Here is a 21,710-nt window from a genome sequence, read left to right as displayed (position 1 = left end):
CATAGATGAGCTGCTTCCCCTGGCCACGTGAGATATGGATGAGGTAAGGAAAGGCGATGTGAGTACATCGAGGTGGGGTTGGTCCTTCGGGGGAGGCGGTGATCAGAGGAAGGCAGGGAGGCTGGCCTGGAGCAGGAGGGTGTCACCACTGGTCACTCCTTGTATTCAGACAGTGAAGGCCACTGACAAAATGTCACACTTGCTGTGACCACTGGTCTCCAGTAAGGTCCAGCCAGCCTGTGGGGCCTTGTGGGTCTGGCATGCTGGGCAGCGGGTTTGATGGGGGGGTGTCAGGTTCTCCTGGGGAGAGAGGGCCCCAGGAGGGACATTGAGGTAGTCAGTACTTGGTCTAAGCAGGGGTTTCAGAGACTTTGTAGATGCTCGTCCAACACCACTGAAGATGCCCAGGGGCGACAGGGAGCTCAGGATCTCTTGGCAGGACCCTTAAGGGCTGGTGTCAAACTGTTCAGGTTGTTACAAGTTCTTTCTCAGGTTAAGCTCAAGTTTGCCTCCCCGCAGATCCATCCATTGTCCTGGTTCTGTCTTCTGGGGTCATATCTATTTAGCAAATATAGAGACAAAGATGGGAAAAGATAGTTCATGTCCTCAAGGAATCCACAGTGCAGTGACAAGGATGAAATAGGCGCTAAGCTGGGAGCTGAGGAAGGAGTCCTGTGTTCCGAGGGATGGGGGCCCAGGCAGGCCTCCAGAGGAAGTAGCCTTTGAGTGCGCTTCACAGATAAGAGGATTCACATGGGTGGAGGGGGCTGCAGAGTCCAGGCCAGGAACAGCTTGAGCAAAGACACAGAGGTAGGAGAGAGCAAGGTATCCCCTGGGGACGCGGGGCACCCTGTTGGGGTGGGGCCTGCTGCGGTGGGGAAGGGGGCTAGATAAAGAGGGGCTTCAACCCAGGCTTAGGCCTTTATTCAGCAAGCTATGGGGAGGGTTGAGAGGTTTCGTGAGACTTTATCAGAGCTGTGGCTAAGATCAGGGGTTCTCAAAGTGTGGTCCCTGGCCAGCAGCATTAGGGTCATCTGGGAACTTAGAAATGCAAATTCTCCAGCTGCCTCCCAGACCTCCTAGATCAGAAACTCTGAGGGTACTTTAATAGGCCCTCCAGGTGATTCTGATGTGCTGCTTTAGAAAAACAACCCGAGAGCTGAGGGAGAGAGGGGAGGTGGGGGGAGCCTGGAAGAGGCCGCAGGTGCTGCTGCATCCTCAAAAAGCAATCACAGCTGGAAGATGGACCCGAGCATGGGAGGAGATATCACTAACAACGCTCCCAACTACAGTAACCAACTGTCCCAGCTTGCCTGGGACCTGAGAGGTTTCATGGGACATGGGACTTTCAGTGCTAAAACCAGGAGAGCCCAGGGCAAACTGGGATAGTCAGCTACCCTGCCCTAACACTGCCCAGGAAGACGTACTGCTCAGGTTGTTTATGAAGGGAATGGGTGAACGGTGGAGTTCCCAACAACGCTGAAGCCCATCCTCGAGGACTTTGTAGTGGCTAAAGTTGCCTGTCCCTCTTGTCACCCGTTTCTGGTGCCTGCTGTGCCTGGCAGGAGCCCTTCCCACATGCCTCTGCTGTGTCCAGGCTCTGGAGACCAGAGCAGAAAGGGAGGTGGAGCCCAGGCCAGTGACAAGAATACAAGGCTGGCTCTCCATGGCCATGTCGCTGGCCAGGCGCCTCGGTCACATGAAATACAATATGGCTGAGGCCTCTCTGACCCTGCTGATGCTGCTGGAAGCTGAAAATACCCAGGGTCCCGGCCTGGGCGCCCGGGTGGCTCCTCTGGGCCAGGAATCAGAGGAGAGGCTGTGGTGACTCAGCCAGGCTCTGGCCTCTGTGGGGTGATTTCAGGGCACTGCAGCCTCCCACCTTTCCTACAGGTGGAGGTTTTTAAAACAGGAGCCTTTTTATTTATCACCCCAGCTGCCTTCAACACATACAGGGGATGGTGGGGAGAGTGACTTCACCATGTTCACTGAGCTGTTAAACACCAGACAGCAAGCCTGCCTATGGAAGCTTGCTCAGAAAAGTGGGGCAGCTGCTTTCTGAAGACCCCAGTGAGCCCCTCCCCGTGTCTTGTTGATCCACACGCCCTATCCATGGACCAGTCACGGAGGCTGAGGGATGGATGAGGGTGATTTGTTTAGGCCTGAGACCCAAGGCCTTAGTGCCTAGGGTGGAGTTAGCTTCCCCGAAACTGGAAGGAGGAGAACTGGTCATTGCTAAGAGAAGGGGAACAGCTGCTGGGAGGTGAACCTCATGTCTCCTTCAATTCTCTTCCTCTGCTTCTGCTGTGGTGCTCTCTACTTTTTCAGAACTGCCTCGTGAGCAAACTTTCTGGGGCTCAAATGAGGCTCCCTACTCCCAACACACCTGCCCAGGAGTTGGTCCTGCTACAGCCTTCAAAACCCGCAGGCAGGAGGATTGCTTGAGCCCAGGAGTTTGAGGCTGCAGTGAGCTATGATCATGCCACTGCACTTAGCCTGGGCAGCAGAGCAAGACACCCATCTTTAAAACAACAACAATAATAATGATAACCTGTAGGCCCTGCCTCTATCAACCTCCCTTCCCTGGAAAGAAGCATCATACCTGGGCAGGGGGGTGCTGCATGGAAACCCTGGCTTTGGAGTTAGACTGGACCTCAGGGTCTGAATCCCAGTTCTGGCACCTTCTTGGCTGGGTAACTGTTAGCAACGAACTGAGCCTCAGTTCTCCCTCTTGTAAAATGGGAATGACAGTATGCTCCCGCAGGGCTTCTGTGAGGGTGAAATGGAATGAGCTGATGCATGTGAAGTTCCCGTTCCGTTGCACTCGGAATGTGGTTGCTGCTGTAATAACCATGCTTCTTATTGACAGCATACAGTACAGGGTAAAAATAGACATGTAAGTGAGGAGCCTGGAGCAAAAGAGGAAGGAAGATCCCCTATAGTGGTTCTGCCCCTGGCAACCACTCTGGCGACTGCAAAGCATGTGATCGGTAGGGCCCTTCATATGAATAAGGGGTCATGCCTCTTGCTTCTGCATGCCATGGGCTGGGTGTGTGGCTCCCACGGCCTGCATACTCTGCAACTCTGGAGTTAGTGAAGAAGCCTCACTACCCAGCCACAAGGCACATTCTACTTTCCACACATCTGACTCCTTCAACCAGAACCCCATGCCCCTACCATGACCACCACCAAGTGCAAAGCTGCTGTGCCTGAGAGCTGCAGCAGCCAGCCCTCTTCCTGCCTGTCTGTGGCTGGTGTGGTTTGCGTAGGAGAAGCAATAATCGTAGCATCCCCACTTACCATGTGCCGGGTGGCTTGCACATATTATCTTTAGTCCTGACAACACTCCTGAGCAAGAGCTCTGGTCTGTTTTACAAAGGCAGGAAACCAAGGCTCAGAGAGGTAGATGACTTTTCTAAAACTAAATGGCTAGCAAAGTAGCAGGGGACTTTGGGTTCAAATTCAGTTCTACCTGGCTCCAAAGACTGAGTGCTTTGCACCATGCAATAGGGCTCGGGAGACCTGAAGTCCAGGTCAGGGTCATCCATTAACTCACATGGGACTGAGGCAAGCACCTCCCCTTGCTGGTCCTCAGTTTCCTCACCTGTGAATCGGGTAATGCCTAAGGTTAGGACTCTGTTCTCCCAGCATCTGACTTCTTGGAGGTCCTCTGCTGACATGGGTACAAAGAGCAGAATTGTGACCCAGGTGATCTCAGTATCCCCCAGTTTCCCTTTGGGAGGCTCTCTTCTGGCCAGGCTGGTGTCTTCCCACTGCCAGGGGGTCTGGAACCTAGCAGTCACCCCTTCTAGGAGTGCTCTGCTCTGTCGTCTGAACATTCCTTTCTACAGCTTCGAACAAAAATGTTTCAATGTCTTGTCTACGTTTTTATAATGTCTCATCTCTCTTGGGTTCTGCCATCTTCCAGAAGACCTAGGAGGGAAGCAGAGATGCTAGTCTGAACTAAAGGGTGAGGGATTCATGGGCTCCTAGTTGCATTTTTATCAGGAGCTTCTAGAAATAGTGTCACAACCTGAAAGAGCAGATGGTCAATTTAGTAACTTCATCAGTGCCTCTGAGTCCCCTTAGTCCCCTGCACATTCACTGTGATTTGTGTTCTATTCGGCTCTCCCTGAGTATAATGCACTCCCCGAGGGAGGGCAGGGACTGGGCCTTGCTCCCAGGCCAAAAGACTCGATTGATTGATGGAGCACCCAGGCCTATAGCACAGGACTGGAACCCCATCTGACTCTGCTTGTGGGAACTGCAGCCACTTCCTGAACTGCCTCCCCACCTCAGCCAGGCCTGAAATGTATTCCTTGCTAGCTAAAGAAGGGGCAAGGAGGAGGGAGAGGGTTTAGAAAGACAAGAAGCATATGGATTTCTTCTTCCTCAGTCTCTCCAATGCTTGAACCCTCCCAGGCCACAGGAAGCTCCCATGAGCCCAGCTAGGCTCTTTAGGGCCAGGGAGTAAAGCTATCTAGAAGTAACAAAAGGGAAGAGAATGAGCATTAATCAAGTTCCTATTGAGCATAGGCATTATACTAGATGTGTCTACAGACTTATACTTGTCTCCATTTTGCAGATGAGAAAACAGAGGACCTGAGAAGTTATGCTGCATGAGATAACGAGGCTAGTAGTTGGTGGAGCCGGGGTTTGAACTCAGGTCCAAAGGTATGTGCTCTTGCAGGCTGCCTCTGGGTGGCTCCTTGGGACAGAGGCCCAAGGTATGTGCTCTTGCAGGCTGCCTCTGGGTGGCTCCTTGGGACAGAGGCTGTAGAACTTTAGGCCCTCTGCCTCGTTTCCCTCAGGACCGACACAGCCAGTCCTGGAGGTCGATGTTGGGTCCGCTGGGGCCAGCCCCACCCAGCCTGTGGACACAGTGCCATGTTACTCTTTGTCCTGGTCTGCATTCACTGGCCATCCACACACATTTTTCTGAGGGATGCTTGGTAACTAAGGCCACCAGGTGGCGCTGCAAGGGCTGGGACCTTGACTGCTGGATCTAAGGCTCAGTAGGTTCTTAGCGATCTTCCATGACAGGCCAGGATTCCCCTGAGAGATTCCTAGGAAACTTTTAAAAAAATATATGGGCCCAGAGTGTCTGGTTTGATATTTTGGATTGGATTCTGGGAAACTGTTATTATTTTAAAATAGTGTTAATTTTCTGCATTGGTAAAATATTCACATGGCTCAAAAAATTTAAAGTATAAAAAGGTATATAAGCCTAGGTGCCGCGGCTCATACCTGTAAACCCAGCGGTTTGGGAGGCTGAGGCAGGTAGGTCACATGAGGTCAAGAGTTCGAGACCAGCCTGGCCAACACAGTGAAACTCTGTCCTACTAAAAATGCAAAAATTAGCTAGTGTGGTGGTGCACACCTGTAGTCCCAGCTATTTGGGAGGCTGAGGCATGAGAATCGCTTGAACCCAGGAGGCCAGGAAGGGGAGGCTGCAGTGAGCTGAGATCACGCCATTGCACTGCAGCCTGGGCAACAAAGCAAAACCCTGTCTTTAAAAAAAACAAAACAAAACAAAACAAAAAATCCTTATTGTTCAAGGGTCAATTTTATATTCAACAAAAGAAGCAAAATAGATTTTAACCAAAGTAACAAAATATGAACAATATATTCATTTGCTTTCCATCAAAACATAGATAAAACAAAAAATATTAACAAGCAATAGCTATTGATTTGGTAGGAATATGAATATCCTAGCCATAACCCTTACTTGACAAATTCACTTGATTTTTGATTAGGCAATCTCCAATTATGGTTTTAGGAATGTTTCACAGTCTGAGGCGCCAGGTTTGTGTGCCTCATGTGTTTTGTCCTTCAGTGTTAATGATAAACGCTTGCATGGCATTCTTAATTTTTGCTTGCACAAGGCTGTCTCAATACCTTTGGTCATTAGGCTGATCCCATTCAGCTTTCAAGTGATCCTGCTTATCTGACTATATAGAAGTCAACATAGCATGATGCTTCTGAAGGCTGTGGCAGATTCTTTCCAGGTGTTGCTCTGCAGCTTGACCTTTGGGAGCCTTGGCTTTAATGATCGCCACTCTGGGAGGGGGGCCCTTAACCTCCTGCTGTAGAATGATGCCAAACTGCCGGCTGCTCAAGCCTTCTTGAGATGGGGGCAGCAACTGCCACTGTCCCCCAACCACGGTGACCTGTAGGACCTGATTCCACAACCCAGAGGTCTGGTTGCCACAGTGCGCCTCACGGGGTAAGACAATTGCTTATTATACACACTGTCCTGCACTTTGCTTTTTTCACTTAAGGGTATAGAGATATTTTTTCCATATCAGTTCAGAAAAGCTTCCTTATTCTTTGTTACAAATGTATAGTGGTTCATTGCATGGATGAAACATATTTTAACCAGTTCCCTAATGATGGTTGTTTCCTTTGCTGTTATAAACAATGCTATAATGAATAACCTTGTGCATATGTCATTTCATACATCTGTAATATCTGAGGATAAATTCCTAGATGTGGTCTTATAGATCAAATGGTATGTGTGTTTTTAATTTTTACAAATACAGCCAAATTGCTCTTGATCAGAGTTCTACAAGTGTATACATCTACCAGCAAAGAACAAGAGTGCTTGTTCCTCATCAGTTTCACCAACACAGTGTGTTAGCAAACTTTACAACTTCCGTTAATCTGATAATGTGAAATGGCATCTTAGCATTCCTCTTATTATGTGAGTTTTTAAAAATATTTTCAAGATCTTTTTCTATTTTCTGTGATTTGTCTGGGGAATTTGTCTTTTTTTTTTTTTAATGTTCCTCACTTATAACCTTTGGCAAGACACAAAAACAAAAAACCTTAAAGGAAAAGATGAATAAATTTAACAACATTCAAATCACAAACTTCTATATATAAACAATACCATGAAATGTTAAAAGATATAACAGGAAAAAAAAAAGTATGTGCAACCTATATCCCAATACAACTTGCAGCTGAACTTTCAAAAGAAGGGAAAAGGCCAGAATTCTGACTGTCCACTAGCTCTCACCATCTTTATAGCTTGTAAGGAGGTGCTTGTATCACATGACTCCCTGGATCCTCACGGAAGCCCTCTGAAGTGGGTGTTATCGTCTCACAGATGCAGACTCTAGGCTCAGAGAAGTTAAGTGACCTGCCCCAGGTCACACAGCTGGGGAGAGGAGATCAGGTGATGTGCTTCCACCACACCACAGCTGCCTGAGCACCCACTCTGGCTCTGCATACATCCATGTAACCTTGGGCAGGTCTCTTGTCCCTCCACTTCAGGCATCTTCTCTGTACAGTGGGTGTGTTTTTCTCCATTGCCGCCAGCTCTAGACCACTGATGTGGAGATGGTGGCAGAAGGTGGATTAAAGTGTGGGTTGGGATTCACAGGGGCACACTGTGGAGGTGTGTCCACAGGAGAGGTGGTGAGTATAAGTGCATGTGTCATATGTGTACAGAAAGAACATTTCTGCAGGCTGGGAGTCCTTTCTGGAGAGCTCATGGGCTCTCCCAACAAGTCACTTCCATCCAAGAGTCCTCTTGCAGCGCCTTCATCCTCGTGAGGCCCTGCAGGGAGGGGATGATGCTTAGCCCTAAAGGAAGATGGCCATTTGCAGCAGCTCTCAATGAGGCTGATGTTCTGGGGCAAGTGGGGACTCATATCTCATAGAGACTAACCCTGGAGGCCTGCCCTGTCAGGAGTCACCTTTCCACTCAGTCAGCCCTGGGGACAATCTGAGCAATTGACCTCATCATGGACTGGAGGGCAGTGAACTGTAGTGGGACCCATGTGATCCAGCCACATAGGCCTGCTGGGCAGATGTCCCCAGGGCCAGGCTGAGGCTGGGCAGGAATAGGGAAAGTGCCAGCTCCACACCCATTCTCCCCACACAGCATGACAAAGGAGCCTAGTTTGCCCAGCATGGGCACAGTACTTGACTAATGGCCAACCAACATTGGCCATCTTTGAGAAAGAGAGACAGAAAAAAAGCCCTGGATAAACAAACGTTGCAAGTTAAAATCTAAAACAAAACATAATCAAATAAAGATAGTATTCTATAAATATAAGATTTCAGAGTTTTAAGCAGACTGAGAAGGGTCTCCATTGTTGGCATTAGTCCTGGGTTCTGTGCATGTACGTGTGGGCCTGCACATGTTGGTTGGGGCTCCTCGGAGCATCTGCATCCCTCGAGGCATCGTGTGGTCAGGGGTAGGGTCAGGAGGAAGGACTTCAGGGGCCTGTCCCAGGCCTTGTGGCTTTCTGAATGACAAGGGCTGAGCTCAGAGCAGGACTAGAGGCCCTATCCACTCACTTCCCCATGTTGAAACCAACTTCAAAGCAGAATTCCCCAGGCCTAGCCCCAGCACTGGAAGAGGAGCTGGGGGCAGCTTTCCCAGGCCTCCAGCCCTGGGCCTGGCCCTCAGAGGAAGTGTTGGCAGAAGGGTTAACAGAAGCCTGGCTGGAAGAAGACGAAGTCCTCCAAAGGACGGAAGTGGAGAGCAGGAGTCAAAAAGAGAGAAGAAAGGGGTACATGTCCTTTGGAAAACTGCTGTGGCTTACATGGCCTTGTTTCAATGGCCCAGGCAGAGAAGAAAGACACATTCACAAGCATAGATTCCCATAGCACAGATGGACCTTGAAAATAGAATGCTACGTGAAAAAGGCCAGACACAAAAGACCATGTATATGATTCCATTTATATGAAATGTCCAGGATGGGGAAATCTATAGAGACAGAAAGTAGATCAGTGTTGACTTTGGGACTAGGGGACCTGGGGATGGGCGAGTGATAGCTAAAGGGTGTGGGGTTTCTCTTTATGGCTACAAAAATGTTCTAAAATTGACTACGATGATGGTTACACATATCGTTGAATATACTAAAACCTATTGAATCATTCACTTTAAATGGGTGAATTGTGTGGTGTGTGAATTATGTTTCAATAACCCTGTTAAAAAGAGGGAGCAGGGGCCGGGCATGGTGGCTCACACCTGTTGAATCCCAGAAGTTTGGGAGGCCGAGGTGGGCGGATCATGAGGTCAGGAGATCAAGACCATCCTGGCTAACACAGTGAAACCCCATCTCTACTAAAAATACAAAAAATTAGCTGGGCATGGTGGCGGGCGCCTGTAGTCCCAGCTACTCGGGAGGCTGAGGCAGGAGAATGGAGTGAACCCGGGAGGCGGAGCTTGCAGTGAGCCGAGATCGCACCACTACACTCCAGCCTGGGTGACAGAGTGAGACTCTGTCTCCAAAAAAAAAAAAAAACCAAAAAACAAAAACAAAAAAGGAGCAATTCCCATGGAGAGTGAGGGATATTGGGAGCAGTTGGAACAGGTCCTACTGGGGAGTGGGCAGAAGGGTACAGAAAGTCTAGTGGGGCAGGGAAGACCAAAGAAAAGAACAACTTCCATTGGTCCCTGAGGATGGGCAGTGTTTCTGTTACCTTTCCAAGAAGAAATGGAGACCTCCTTCTCCCCCTTGCTCCTTCTCAAGCCATGGGCATCATGTTAAGAAAACTGTAAATTCAGACCATCGAGAAAAATCCAGAAACCCAACTCAGGGGCTGGAGAGGTCCTAGGACCTGACGCTGGTGAGAGTGGAGAGGCAGCGCTTCCCACGACCATAAAAATGATTAAAATGGTAAATTTTATGTTATCTATATTTTACTACAATAAAAAAGTTAATGAACTCAGACTTCAATGAGATTAGGATGATATATCCTCGCTTGTGGCCTGGCTGGGATTAGAAGAATAATAGTAAATGTTTATTAAATCCATACTGTGTTCTAAGCCTTTTGCCTTACGTTATCTCGGTTAATCCCCCAACAGGCCTACAAAGTGGGCTTCCTTATCATTGCCACTCTACAAACCATTGTAGAGTGCTCAGTGTAGAGGCTCAGCAAATTTGGGGCCTGTATCCTTCAGCCCTTGCTTTAGTCAGCCAGCAAGGGAAGACTCAATTCAATAGATCTGAAACAATTAAAGGATTTTTCTGCCTTGACAAAAGTTAAAATGGAGCAGCTTGCAGGAGGTGGTCTATTCTGCATCTCTCAATGAAATGCAATGAGAAGGTTATTTCTTATTTCTTTCTGGAAGCAAAGAGTCTTTGGCTGGTGTGGTGGCTCACCCCTGTAATCCCAACACTTCGGGTAGACCAAAGCAGGAGGATTGCTTAAGGCCAGGAGTTCAAGACCAGCCTGAGCAACAAAGCAAGACCCCCCATCTCTACAAAAAATAGAAAAATCAGCCAGGTGGAGGCTGAGGCAGGAGGATCACTTGAGCCCAGGAGGTCAAGGCTGCAGTGAGCCATGATCACAGCACTGCACTCTGGCCTGGGTAAATGACCAGAGCTTGTCTCCAAAAAAAAAAAAAAAAAAAAAGTCTTTTTGAAAATAAAGAAAAGTGGCAATCCAGAGACAATCGAGATATTTCCTGTGGTCCTGGGGCAACCTGTTCTGAGTGGGAATGTAGTCAGGAAGAGGAGGGCACAGCAGGAGCCATGCAGGGCTCTTGTCGCCTACAACCTGACACCTTTGAGATAACAGACCCTCCAACTCCTGGAGTGGAAATTGCAACCTGCTGGGGGTGGAGACACCCGTGTTTAAGTCCTGGTTCAGCAAGTCAAGGCGGTCCTTTCACCTGTGGGCCTTGGTTTCTCTAGCTCTAGAATGATAACCTCAAGGCTTCTTCTAGGTTTCAAACTTAGGCGTTTTGGCCTGCACCTAGCAAGTGGGAATTGTTTGTTCAGAGCCAAATTACTCTGTCTTGTTTTCTTGAGTAAAAAGTGAAGGGAAGCACAATCAAACCCCATCCCTCTCAGACAACAGTCATATTCTCCCCACGCTGTCATCCCCACTGGCTCTGGGGCAGCCCTGGGCAGTGGGAAGATGGTGGAGCTGCCTCCCACAATCCTGGTCCTGATGACTGGGAAACTGGAGGCGCATCCGCTTCTGAGGACTCACAGCAAATGCTGGGAAAGTGCTGAGTGAACCTGGCGTGCAACCCACACTCAGTAGTGGGTAGCAGTTGTTATGATGGCCCTGCCAACCCCCCGGTCCTGGTGGGAATTCTCTGCATGCCGGACTGCCTTCTGGAGGCCTAGGGGCTCTGGCCCTGTCTGCCCTTTCCTCACTCCCGGGGATCTCCCCAAAAGGACATGTAGTAGCCCTAGGGGAGAGTAACTGTCAGAGGGGGCCAACCCAGGGCAAAAAAACCCAGGATACTGGATCCCTGGCTGTCCCTGGATGGTGTGAGGCCAGCCCTGCCAGCCACCCTGCCCTGGCCTTTCCTGGCCTCAGGCAGAGCACAGGCCACTCCTCACAGGCTCAGGTCTCACACCTCCTGATTCACTCCTCTGCTCAGGGCATCTTGCCCTGACCCCTCAGGGCCGACCACCATGAGGAGGTCTGTGAACTATGACTTCAGGGTACAACTGTCCTCTTCACGGCCCTGCCCTGCTTCCTGACTCCTGCAATCCCAGAGCTAGAAATTTTTCTCTTTGATGCTTCCCTGAACATAAAAACATTTTAAGCCTTCTCCATCACAGGGAGTAGGATGGGAATGATTCAGGAAGACTCTTTCCCAAGAGCAAGCTTCCGTGGGGCAAGCAAAGAAGGACATGTATCCAGGAAGTGCCCGGAGGTGGGTGGGAAGGGAACACAAGGCACAGAAAAGGTTCCTGAGACCCGTCTGCCTCACAATTGTGCCCAGGGCCAGGTCTGAGTCTGCTCTTCCGACTTCCAGAGTGAAAAAATAGAATGCTCTTTAATGCTTCTCTTTTGTCAACTAAAAAATCAGCAAAGTGCCAAAGGAAGGTGCCTCAGACATTGGGGAGAGCGTGAACTTTGTGATGAGACAATTTTGGTTCTCTTAGGACCTGGTTCTCTCACCAACTCCATATGCGATAGACAAGTGACTTCACTCCATTAAGCCTCAGTTTCCTCCTCTGTTAGACTGGGCCTAACGAAACCTACCTTGAAATGCTGTTATCAGAATAAGTTGAGAGAATGTATGGGGGTACCTAGCCCAACGCCTGTACATAGTAGGCCTGCACTAAAAGCTGGCTTCCTTTCTTCCTTCATCTCTCTTGTTCTCCAATCTGTTTGAATGGTGAAACAGATGGTTCTTTGGTTGAAAGCAGCAGAAACTGACTGGGGCTATAACTTAAAGAAGAAAAAAACATGTGTTAGGAATTTACCAGGTAATTCACCAAAGCAAAAGAAATGAACAAACTAGCCTTGGAAAGGACAGTAACTAGGAGATCACAGGGAGGACAGGCTGGTGATTTGGAGACCAGCTCCTCACCTGCCAGTGGGCTCTGGCCATAGGCCTGCATCCTTTGCAGGGTGCACCCGAGGGCTGATGCTTGCTCTTGGGGAAGGCTTGTCCTCTTTAGCTCTCCAAGGTCTTGTTACTCCCAGGAGCCTGGGCTCTGAAGACCCTCGGGGATAAGGAGAGCCTTCACTAGTCTTAGGCTGACCACAGATAAAACCCAAACCCTGCTTTCCAGCCCTGGACTCTGACCACTCAGCACACGCTAATTCAGCCTGAAGGTTATGGGTGCCAGAGACCGAGGAGAAGGTTTGTTCTTAAAATATGTTTATTTATTTTTTATGGAGAATTTTTTCTCATTATAAAAGACAAGATACTCAAAGAAAATTTGGAAAACAGAAAAACACACAAAATCCCCCAAATCTCCACAATTAACACTACTCAGATCTAACCACTAGTAATATTTTAGAACATGTTCTGTATTTTTTCAACACAGACACACAGACACACACGCACTTTCTAGCAACATGAGCTCATACTATCATAATGTTTCAGTACATTTTTATTTTTAAATTTTATTTTAATTTTTTTTTTTTGAGACGGAGTCTCGTTCTGTCACCCAGGCTGGAGTGCAATGGTGTAATCTTGGCTCACTGTAACCTCTGCCTCCCAGGTTCAAGTGATTCTCCTACCTCAGACTCCTGAGTAGCTGGGACTACAGACGTGCATGCCACCACGCCCGGCTAATTTTTGTATTTTTAGTAGAGACGGGGTTTCACCATGTTGGCCAGGCTGTGTAAATCGAACTCCTGTTTAGTCAGATTTATTGATCTGTAAGGTGGAGGGGCCGTTCTGCCCACTTTCCCTTGGTGCCTAACAAGCTTTCATTTATATGATCTGAGCCTCTCATATTTGTTTCCCAAAACCAGTTGGGATGTCTCTGCCTCCTCTGGGTAAAGGATGTTTCTTGAGCTATAGGGCAGGGCCCAGAGTATAGTCCTAGCTGTCCATCCATGGGGCACAGCCAGGTGAAGAACCCTCTCCCCACACTGCCTGGGGTCACTGACCTCAAGTTCAAACCCTGCTTGGTGAAGATGATTCTGCTGATGATGCCAACGTTCAGGTCAGCCTCAGCTGTTCAGAGCATGTCTACCCACAGGCCATGCTGTAGCCAATGTGGTCAAAGCCAGCCCCAGATAACCTTCTGGGAACCCTGCTCTAGGCTCCAGCTTTGGTATTAGCCAGGGTGCTCAGAGCTTGGCCCAAGGCTCTTGGTGCAGTGGCTACTCTCTAGGCCTTGCTGTGGAGCAGCTATGGCAGGGGCAGCCTCCTCAGCCTGCCAGGCCTGAGGGAGGGAGGAAGGAAGGGAGGAAGGAAGAAAGGAAGGAAGGGAGGGACAAAAAAAAAAAACCCAAGCAAATATTGGGGCTCAGAACACAATATCCCAAAATATGGCACTCTAGCACTCTGAGTTATTTGGACTGGAAGGGATGGGAAGGGCCTCAAAAGCAAGTCTTGCTGATCCTCTCCTGCCTTCCTTTTTCTTTCCCTCCTTTCTCCTTACCCAGTATTGCCCCTGAAAGAGGTCATAGAAACTAGAACTCCTCTCCCCAGTGCAAGCCACGAAACCTAGAAATGTCACTCTCTAACCTCTTCCCATCTCCCTGGAAGACCCTCATACGACAGGGGTCCTGCCCCTTACTCAGGAAGGAAAGAACGCTACACAGAGAGGCCGTAGAGAAGCTGAACAAGAGGCCTTGCTGTGTTCTGCCTTCAGTCTATCACCATTAGAGCACACCCTCTTTCCAATCACATTTCTACATGGCTGTCTGTTCTTTATTGGACCTAAGCTTAAAAATACACAGTTTTCCCTTTGTCTCTGGATCTTCATTTCTGAAGCCTCTCGCATCACGTAAAACTTAGATTAAATAAATGTGTTATGCTTTTCTCTCGTTAATCTGTTTTTTGTCATGGGGGTATTGGCCATGGACCTTGGAATGGGTGAGGAAAAGGTACTACACCTCTTTGCCCTACAAAAGCAGGCTGGCAAGTAGGATGGCCCAGCACCTATTGCATGCCAAGTGTCTTCACTCAGGCAGTTCCATCCGTGTCTAAACAACCTCGCACTTTTCACTTCCCCACTTTGGGGATGAGGAAGCTGAGACTCAAAGGGGCAGATTATTCGTCTTAGATCACTCAGCTGGCAAATGGAAGAAATAGTGTTTGAAACCACAATCTGTTGCAGCCTCCCAGATGGGTACCTGCCCACCAGAAGGTCTTATGCCTAGTGTTCCATTATTGGAATGCTAAGCAGGTGGGAGTTATTTATATCCTGCGGCTCAAGGTCATCACCAAGGCCTGATTTTTCACACACGTCTGCAATTCAAATTGTAACCTCTGGGCCGGGCACAGTGGCTCCTGCCTGCAATCCCAGCACTTTAGAAGGCTGAGGCAGGTGGATCATTTGAGGTCAGGAGTTTGAGACCAGCCTGGTCAACATGGTGAAACCCTGTCCCTACTAAAAATACAGAAATTAGCTGGGCATGGCAGCCTGTAATCCCAGCTACTTGGGAGGCTGAGGTGGGAGAATCACTTGAGCCTGGCAGGCGGAGGTTGCAGTGAGCTGAGACCACGCCACTGCCCTCCTGTGTGGGCATCAGAGTGAGACCCTGCCTAAAAAAAAAAAAAAAAGTAACCTCTTAAGCTCTCTCCTTAGCTTCTGGGAAAAATGAGTAGGGGAACTCATTCACACTAGAATTCTAATATAGGTTAATAATATCCTCTTTCCCAGGGGGCTCCAAGATGTGGACCCAAGTCTCACCTTTCTCTATCTCCCTCACAGCCAGTCATGACCATGCGATGGCCTCGGACCGTAGAAAGTAGTTTAACTGAACTGTTTCTCTTGGGAATTTCCCCTAAAGCTGAGGCATTTCCTTCTAAGTCTCACTGGAAAGTTCCCAAGAGCCCACGAGGTCAAGGCTACAGTGAGTGATATTTGCACCACAGTGCTCCAGCTTGGGTGACAGAACAAGACTCTGTCTCAATAAATAGATTAATAAATAAATAAATAAATAAAGTACTGAAATCTGTATTGGCAGGTGCATCAAGACGTAGAAACTCTCCTTGCTCATTTTGGTTCTGTGAACTTCCAAGTACCTTTGAGAACCCCCAAGGAATCCAACTCGATTTCTTTCCTTTCAACTTAACCCATTTTCTAAATACCGTGCATCTCAGCTCTGTGCTAAGGTGCTTGGATTGTGCTGAAGAAGTCATAATCTCCATCCTTAAATGGTTGTACAAACTAAGGAAATAAAAGCCTCTCAGTGGATGGTATTTAGAGATGAAAGAATTATATACAGGAAGGAAAAATGTAGAGTGAGGCTTCCCAACTGGGCAAGGGACCCTCACAGGCTGTTACTTGGGTCCCCCAGTGTCCTCTCAAGTTTTGCCTAGGATTGGGGTCCCCAGGTGTGCTGTTGGGGGCCCAGGCCCCACAAGGGTAGCTCTCTGAAGAGGTCCATTTGTCCCTACTGACTCTGAGGGCACAGCTGTTGAGATCTGGGTCCCTGGGATGAGCATCTTGGGAGCTGCCTCTAGGCTAGCCTTCTCTTGGTGTACTCCCTCAGCATTCCTGGAGCCTGGTTGGGGGCTGGCCCTAGGGAGCCCGCCCCTGCCTGTGCAGAGTTGCTCCTGGCCCAGGGGAGAGTGAATGCATTGTGCTCAGGCCTCAGTAAGAGGCAGCCTTGGCAACCAGAATCCTGAGGGAGGGTGTGCCTGGCAGGTCCCCTATGGACTCAACCAGCCACTGTCCTCATCACCAAGCATTAGTTTGGACACTAGCTGCACCCTGCTACCAACAAGAGATCAAAGAATCATGTCTGGGACATAGAGTCCAGAGACCTGGGCTCTAGTCCTGGCCCTGTCACTAATTCTCGGGGCAAACTTGGTCATATTTGTTACCTCATATGTGCCAGACACTGTGCAAGATACTTCACATACTTAAGGCCAGGCACGGTGGCTCACGCCTGTAACCCCAGGACTTTGGGAGGCCGAAGCAAGTGGATCACCTGAGGTCAGGAGTTCAAGATCAGCCTGACCAACATAGTGAAACCCCGTCTCTATTAAAAATACAAAAATTAGCTGGGCCTGGTGGCACGTGCCTGTAAACCCAGCTACTCGGGAGGCTGAGGCAGGAGAATTGCTTAAACTCAGGAGGTGGAGGTTGCAGTGAGCTGAGATTGCACCACTGCACTCCAGCCTGGATGACAGAGGGAGAACATCTCAAAAAAAAAAAAAAAAAGATACTTTACACACTTTTTTAAAAAAGCATTTTCTCTCTTATCACGTTTTCTGTCTCTGGCCCTCCCATCTCTTCATCCTGCAGAGAGGCTGGACTTGGTGAAAGGAGGAGGCAGGAGGAGGCCTTTTGGCTGAACAAAAGGCCTACCCCGTGCCCCACCCCCACCCTAGAGGCATACAATCATTGCCAGCTGAGCCACTGGGCCCAGGGTTTCCCCAGCCTTTATGGTTGGGTTTGCATTGAGGCTTCTGGTTCCTGGGGGAGTCTGGCTGCAGAGTGGCCCCATCGGATGCTCTCAGATGTCCCCTCCCACCCACCTGCAATGGCCCCAGTCCACACACTGTGGGATGTTTTTATTCTTTCCTGCTCTCCTCTTCTCCCCTCCCTTCCTCTCTCTTTTTTCCTGTCTTTCTCTCTCTTTCCCTTTCACAAGCTGGGGCTAGAACATCAACTTAAGGAGGAAAACACAAATAAAGGGCCTTCCTCAGGGAAAAACCTGATCAGAGGAGACTCTGTGCCTGGAGCCTGTTTTCTGCCAGCTGTCAGGGATTCTGTAGGATTGGCCTCTCCCAACCCGGAGCTCCCCAAAGCCAGGTTCCTTCTCCCTGCTGCTGTCCTTTGGCTTGGAGAGTGGGGACCTGCATGTCCTGCCTCCTCCGCTTGACCCAGGAGGACACGGCCTCTTGGGATTCTGAGGGTAAGTGCTCCCTGCAGTGCCATCGCTCTTTCCTGCTTATTACTTCACCATCCTCACAACAACCCTGTGTCGGAAGAGAGTGTTCAATGGGCACACAGTTCCATGACCATTTTACCGATGAGAAAACTGAGGCCACACAACTACTAAGACACAGGCCTTCCATCTCTGAGTCCTGCACTTTGCTTAGGTGAGTAACTTCAGCCATTGATCTGGTCATTCTGTGCCCCTCTCTCCAACCTCCCTGGGGTTCTCTTGCTGAAACTGTCTGAATTGGGAATGCAGCCTGGCTCCACGGGCTTCCCAGGTTCCTGCCAGAAGCACCCAGGCTAGCTTTACTGCAGGAATGGAAGCTACCCTCTGCTCCATTTCTGCTAAGAAGAATGCCTCAGATAGGCGGGCAAGGTGGCTCATGCCTGTAATCCCAGCACTTTGGGAGGCCGAGGAGGGCGGATCACTTGAGGTCAGGAGTTTGAGACCAGCCTGCCCAACATGGTGGAACCCGGTCTCTACTAAAAATACAAAAATTAGCCGGGCGTGGTGGCATGCACTTGTAATCTCAGCTACTCAGGAGGCTGAGGCAGGATAATCGCTTGAACCCAGGAGGTAGAGGTTGCAGTGAGCCGGGATCATGCCACTGCACTCCAGCCTGGGCAACAGAACAAGACTCCATCGCAAAAAAAAAAAAAAAAAAAAAAAAAAAAAAAAAGCCTCAGTTGAAACTAGAAACCTGTGGGCATCAGAAAATACTTACCAACCGCTTGCTCATGCCCCACTACACCCTAAGGCAGAAACAAGTGTTCCCCTGGATGCTTGTGGTGAGAGGTTGGCAGTAGGTCCCTGGAGCTGGGGCCTGTTGCAGCCCCTGGGATCAGGTGAATCAAGGGAATCAAACACTTCTGTTCCACTTCCAGATAAGATAAAGGTTTCACTTTCTTCTCCTTGGGGAAAGAGCTGACCTTGCCAGGTGACAAAAATGCTAATGAGGCCCCAAGAGAACCCCTGCCTGGTAGAAAGGGTACTGAGCTTGGAGTCACAATGTGCTCTGCTCATTTCTAGAGGAGTGAACTTGGGCAAACACGGTTGCCACTGCGCCTGTCTTGTAAGTTGCTGGGAGGGGTGATGAGAAAATGCTGCAATGCTTATGGCCTTAGAAAGATGCTCATGATATGTTGGTATGAAAAAGCAGATTACAAAAAAGGTATATATACTAGGCCCCCATTGCTGTGAAATATAGAAAAATAGCCAAGAGCCATATTCCACTATGCTAACAGTACTTATTCTGGGTGATAGGATCATGGGTGTATTATTTTTCCCTGTTTACTTATCTATATTTTTAATTTTTTCTACAGTAAATATATATTATATAATTATTAGCTATTGCCACAATAATACTGCATAACAGACCAGCCCCAAATCTCAGTAGATTACAACACAAGGATTTATTCTCAAGCTCACAGTTCTGCAGATCAACTGCAATTTGACTGACTTAGGTTGGGCATGGAAGGGCTGCTCTGTCTCAGCCCCGCCCTGCTAAATCAGTCAAATTGCAGTTGGACTAGGTCTGGCTCCTCACTGCAGGTCAGGCTGTATGCCCCACGTGCCTTCATTCTGGGGCTCTGGCTGAAGGGGCAACAGTTATAAAAGCTTGCTTCGCTTCACCTTCCAGCTTGTCAGAGCCCAAGAGACAAGCCAAAATGCACAAGCATGTATAAAGCCTCTGTTTACCTCATTTCCTAACATTTTATTGGCTAAAGCAAGTCCTATGGCCAAGCCCAACACCAATGGGGCAGGGAAGTATATGCCACCCACAGTGGGAGTGGGAGGGGAGTGGGTATATTCTGAGTACTAACCCAGTTTATTGCTTATTACTTGTATAATAAAGCAAACATAATGTGCTTTGTGAGATGTTTTGATGTTATCCACGAGAGAGTATCCTACGGGGCTCCCCAAGGTTAAGAAAGTGGAGCCATTGTAGAATTTTATAGTTAGAGGATAGAATTAATGTGTTTTCTTTGTTTGTTTGTTTGTTTGTTTGTTTGTTTGAAACAGGGTCTCACTCTGTCACCCAGGCTGGAGCGCAGTGGCACAATCCTGGCTCACCGCAACCTCCGCTTCCCAGGCTCAAATGATCCTCCCATCTCAGCCTCCCAAGTAGCTGGGACTACAGTGTGTGCCCGCACACCCGGCTAAGTTTTTGTGTTGTTGGTAGAGACTGGGTTTTGCCATGATGCCCAGGCTGGTCTTGAACTCCTGAGCTCAGAGCTCCACCCACCTTGGCCTCCCAAAGTGCTGGAATTATAGGCATGAGCCACCACGCCCGGCCCTGAGGATAGAAATAATGTGAAAGGGGTAGGCTGACCCTCTCTTCCTTCTCCTCCGTCCCTTTAAGATTACCAGACACGACCATTTATGGCACCTACAGGCTCATAAAGGAAGGCGGAAAACTCCCACACAGCCTCATGGGCCATTCTCGCCAGAGGCCCAGGACCTTGCTAGTTCCCATCCAGATCTGTCTGAATTCACTTCCTGCTGACTTCCTTTCTCTTGATTTCTCTCAGTTCATCCAGTCATTCATTCAAGTTCTATTTATTGAGCACCTACTATGTGCTGGCACTCTTCTAGCCGTGGGGTTATGTTGGTGAACAAGGCAAGTGTTGATAAACAAGGAAGTCTTTCCTCACAGGGATTACATTCTAGTGGGGAGTGGGGTGGGTGCCCGGTAGGGGAGAAATGCTAATATCAAGTAGTGTGAATGCTAAGAAGTAAGTAAGATGGGAGAGTGCAACAGAGAGTGACAGGGCGAGGGATGGCTACTTTGGATAGTGAGGTCAGGAAAGGCTTCACTGAAGAGGTGCTGTTAGAAGTTACTGGAAGATGCTTCTTAGGAACTGATATTTAGGTCTGGGCTCTCCAGACCTTGACTCTTAGTCCCTCTCAAGAATTTGGCTTGGGTTCTCCCTACTGTTCGCTCTCCACTTTGGCCTGCTGTGGGGAGCTCTCCTGTCCTAGCTATCTTCCAACCAGCTTCCCACTGGGTCTGGTGCCCAATCGGCTTAGCCAGTCCTCAACAAAGAGGAGACTCAAAAAAAACCCTAGTAGATCAAGCCAGTCACTTACCGAACTCCTATTGTATACCAAGCTAGTAGGCGTTTATTGAGCACTTTCTGTAAACCAAACCAATAGGCATTTATTGAGCATCTATTGGATGCCAGATCAACAGTCATTTATTGAGTGCTTACTGCATATCCAAACCAACAAGTGTTGATTTACTGTGTTCCTGGAACTGAGAAGAAAACAAAACTATTGCTCTCTAGAGACTTGCAATCAAGTTGTGAATGCAAATGTTACACAAATGCAGACCATTAGCTATAAAAGGCAGGACTTACAACTGTAAGTGCCATGTTGTACAGAACAGCGTCCCAGGAAGCTAGAGACAGCCTAGAGGTCATCATGCAATGGAGTAGCCACAGAAGGCTTCATGGAGGAGGTGAAAATTGAACTGGGCTTTAAGGACTGGATAGGATTTAGATAGAAAAGAAAAACAGGGGCGGACCACAGTGGCTCACTCCTGTAATCCCAGCGCTTTGGGAGGCTGAGGCGGGCAGATCGCTTGAGCCCAGGAGTTTGAGACCAGCCTGGGCAACACGGCGAGACCCCATTTCTACAAAAACTACACAAATTAGCTGGGTGTGGTGGTATGTGCCTATAATCCCAACTACTAGGAGGTTCAGCTGGGAGGATCACCTGAGCTCAGGAGGCTAAGGCTACAGTGAGCCATGTTTGCACCACTGCACTCCAGCCTGGACAACAGAGTAAGACACCGTCTCAAAAAAAAAAAAAAAGAAAAGAAAAATAGGGACTAGAGTAGCATGGCCCAGGCCTGGGGGCAGTTGTGTTTTGGAACCCTCGGATAGAATTCTGAGCATTCATCATTTGGGCCTGGTGTCTTCTCCTTTCTGGTTTGTCAGCATTCCTGTAACAGCCAGTCGCTATGACCCCTTTCTTCTAGGCCATGGCTAGATTCCTTGGCAGTCATAATTTGCCTGAGCAATCCAGGGCTGACATAATCTGGCTAATGTCAGAATGGGCCACCCTGCAGAAAGGTGTTTGTGATGCTCTAGGTGGATAAGAGCATAAAAACCATGAAGATTGGCCTCAGGATATGCAAGTGCAGTGCATTTTTAGTCCAGGTGTTCTCTCCTCTTCTCTCAGGAGTCCTTAAAAACACTCATGTTCGGCTGGGCGTGGTGACTCATGCCTGTAATCCCAGCACTTTGGGAGGCCAAGGCGGGCAGATCACCTGAGGTCAGGAGTTCGAGACCAGCCTGACTAACATGGAGAAACCCAATCTCTACTAAAAATATAAAAAATTAGCCAGGCATGGTGGCGCGCACCCGTAATCCCACCTGCTAGGGAGGCTGAGGCAGGAGAATCGCTTGAACCCAGGA

At 48.8% G+C, this 21,710-nt stretch overlaps 6 annotated features.

Annotated features, from left to right (window-relative positions):
- Positions 1,692 to 2,193: an enhancer, noted in NCBI's record as "H3K4me1 hESC enhancer chr15:64186155-64186656 (GRCh37/hg19 assembly coordinates)". NCBI's record gives its function as "activates a minimal SCP1, AML or CMV promoter by ChIP-STARR-seq in naive H9 embryonic stem cells {active_cell/tissue: H9 hESC(naive)}" and the evidence as "EXISTENCE:reporter gene assay evidence [ECO:0000049][PMID:30033119]".
- Positions 2,969 to 3,198: an enhancer, noted in NCBI's record as "active region_9544". NCBI's record gives its function as "activates an Ori minimal core promoter by ATAC-STARR-seq in GM12878 lymphoblastoid cells {active_cell/tissue: GM12878}" and the evidence as "EXISTENCE:reporter gene assay evidence [ECO:0000049][PMID:35858748]".
- Positions 2,969 to 3,419: a biological region, named in NCBI's record as "Sharpr-MPRA regulatory region 4498".
- Positions 3,125 to 3,419: a silencer, noted in NCBI's record as "tiled region #4498; K562 Repressive DNase matched - State 5:Enh". NCBI's record gives its function as "represses a minimal TATA promoter and a strong SV40 promoter by Sharpr-MPRA in K562 cells {active_cell/tissue: K562}" and the evidence as "EXISTENCE:reporter gene assay evidence [ECO:0000049][PMID:27701403]".
- Positions 4,768 to 4,857: an enhancer, noted in NCBI's record as "active region_9543". NCBI's record gives its function as "activates an Ori minimal core promoter by ATAC-STARR-seq in GM12878 lymphoblastoid cells {active_cell/tissue: GM12878}" and the evidence as "EXISTENCE:reporter gene assay evidence [ECO:0000049][PMID:35858748]".
- Positions 16,360 to 17,255: an enhancer, noted in NCBI's record as "H3K4me1 hESC enhancer chr15:64171093-64171988 (GRCh37/hg19 assembly coordinates)". NCBI's record gives its function as "activates a minimal SCP1, AML or CMV promoter by ChIP-STARR-seq in naive and primed H9 embryonic stem cells {active_cell/tissue: H9 hESC(naive and primed)}" and the evidence as "EXISTENCE:reporter gene assay evidence [ECO:0000049][PMID:30033119]".

The sequence above is a fragment of the Homo sapiens genome, chromosome 15, assembly GCF_000001405.40.
Source record: "Homo sapiens chromosome 15, GRCh38.p14 Primary Assembly".
Taxonomy (NCBI): domain Eukaryota; kingdom Metazoa; phylum Chordata; class Mammalia; order Primates; family Hominidae; genus Homo; species Homo sapiens.
The sequence above is the reverse complement of the archived record's forward strand: the minus strand, read 5'-3'. Positions and strand labels throughout refer to the sequence as shown.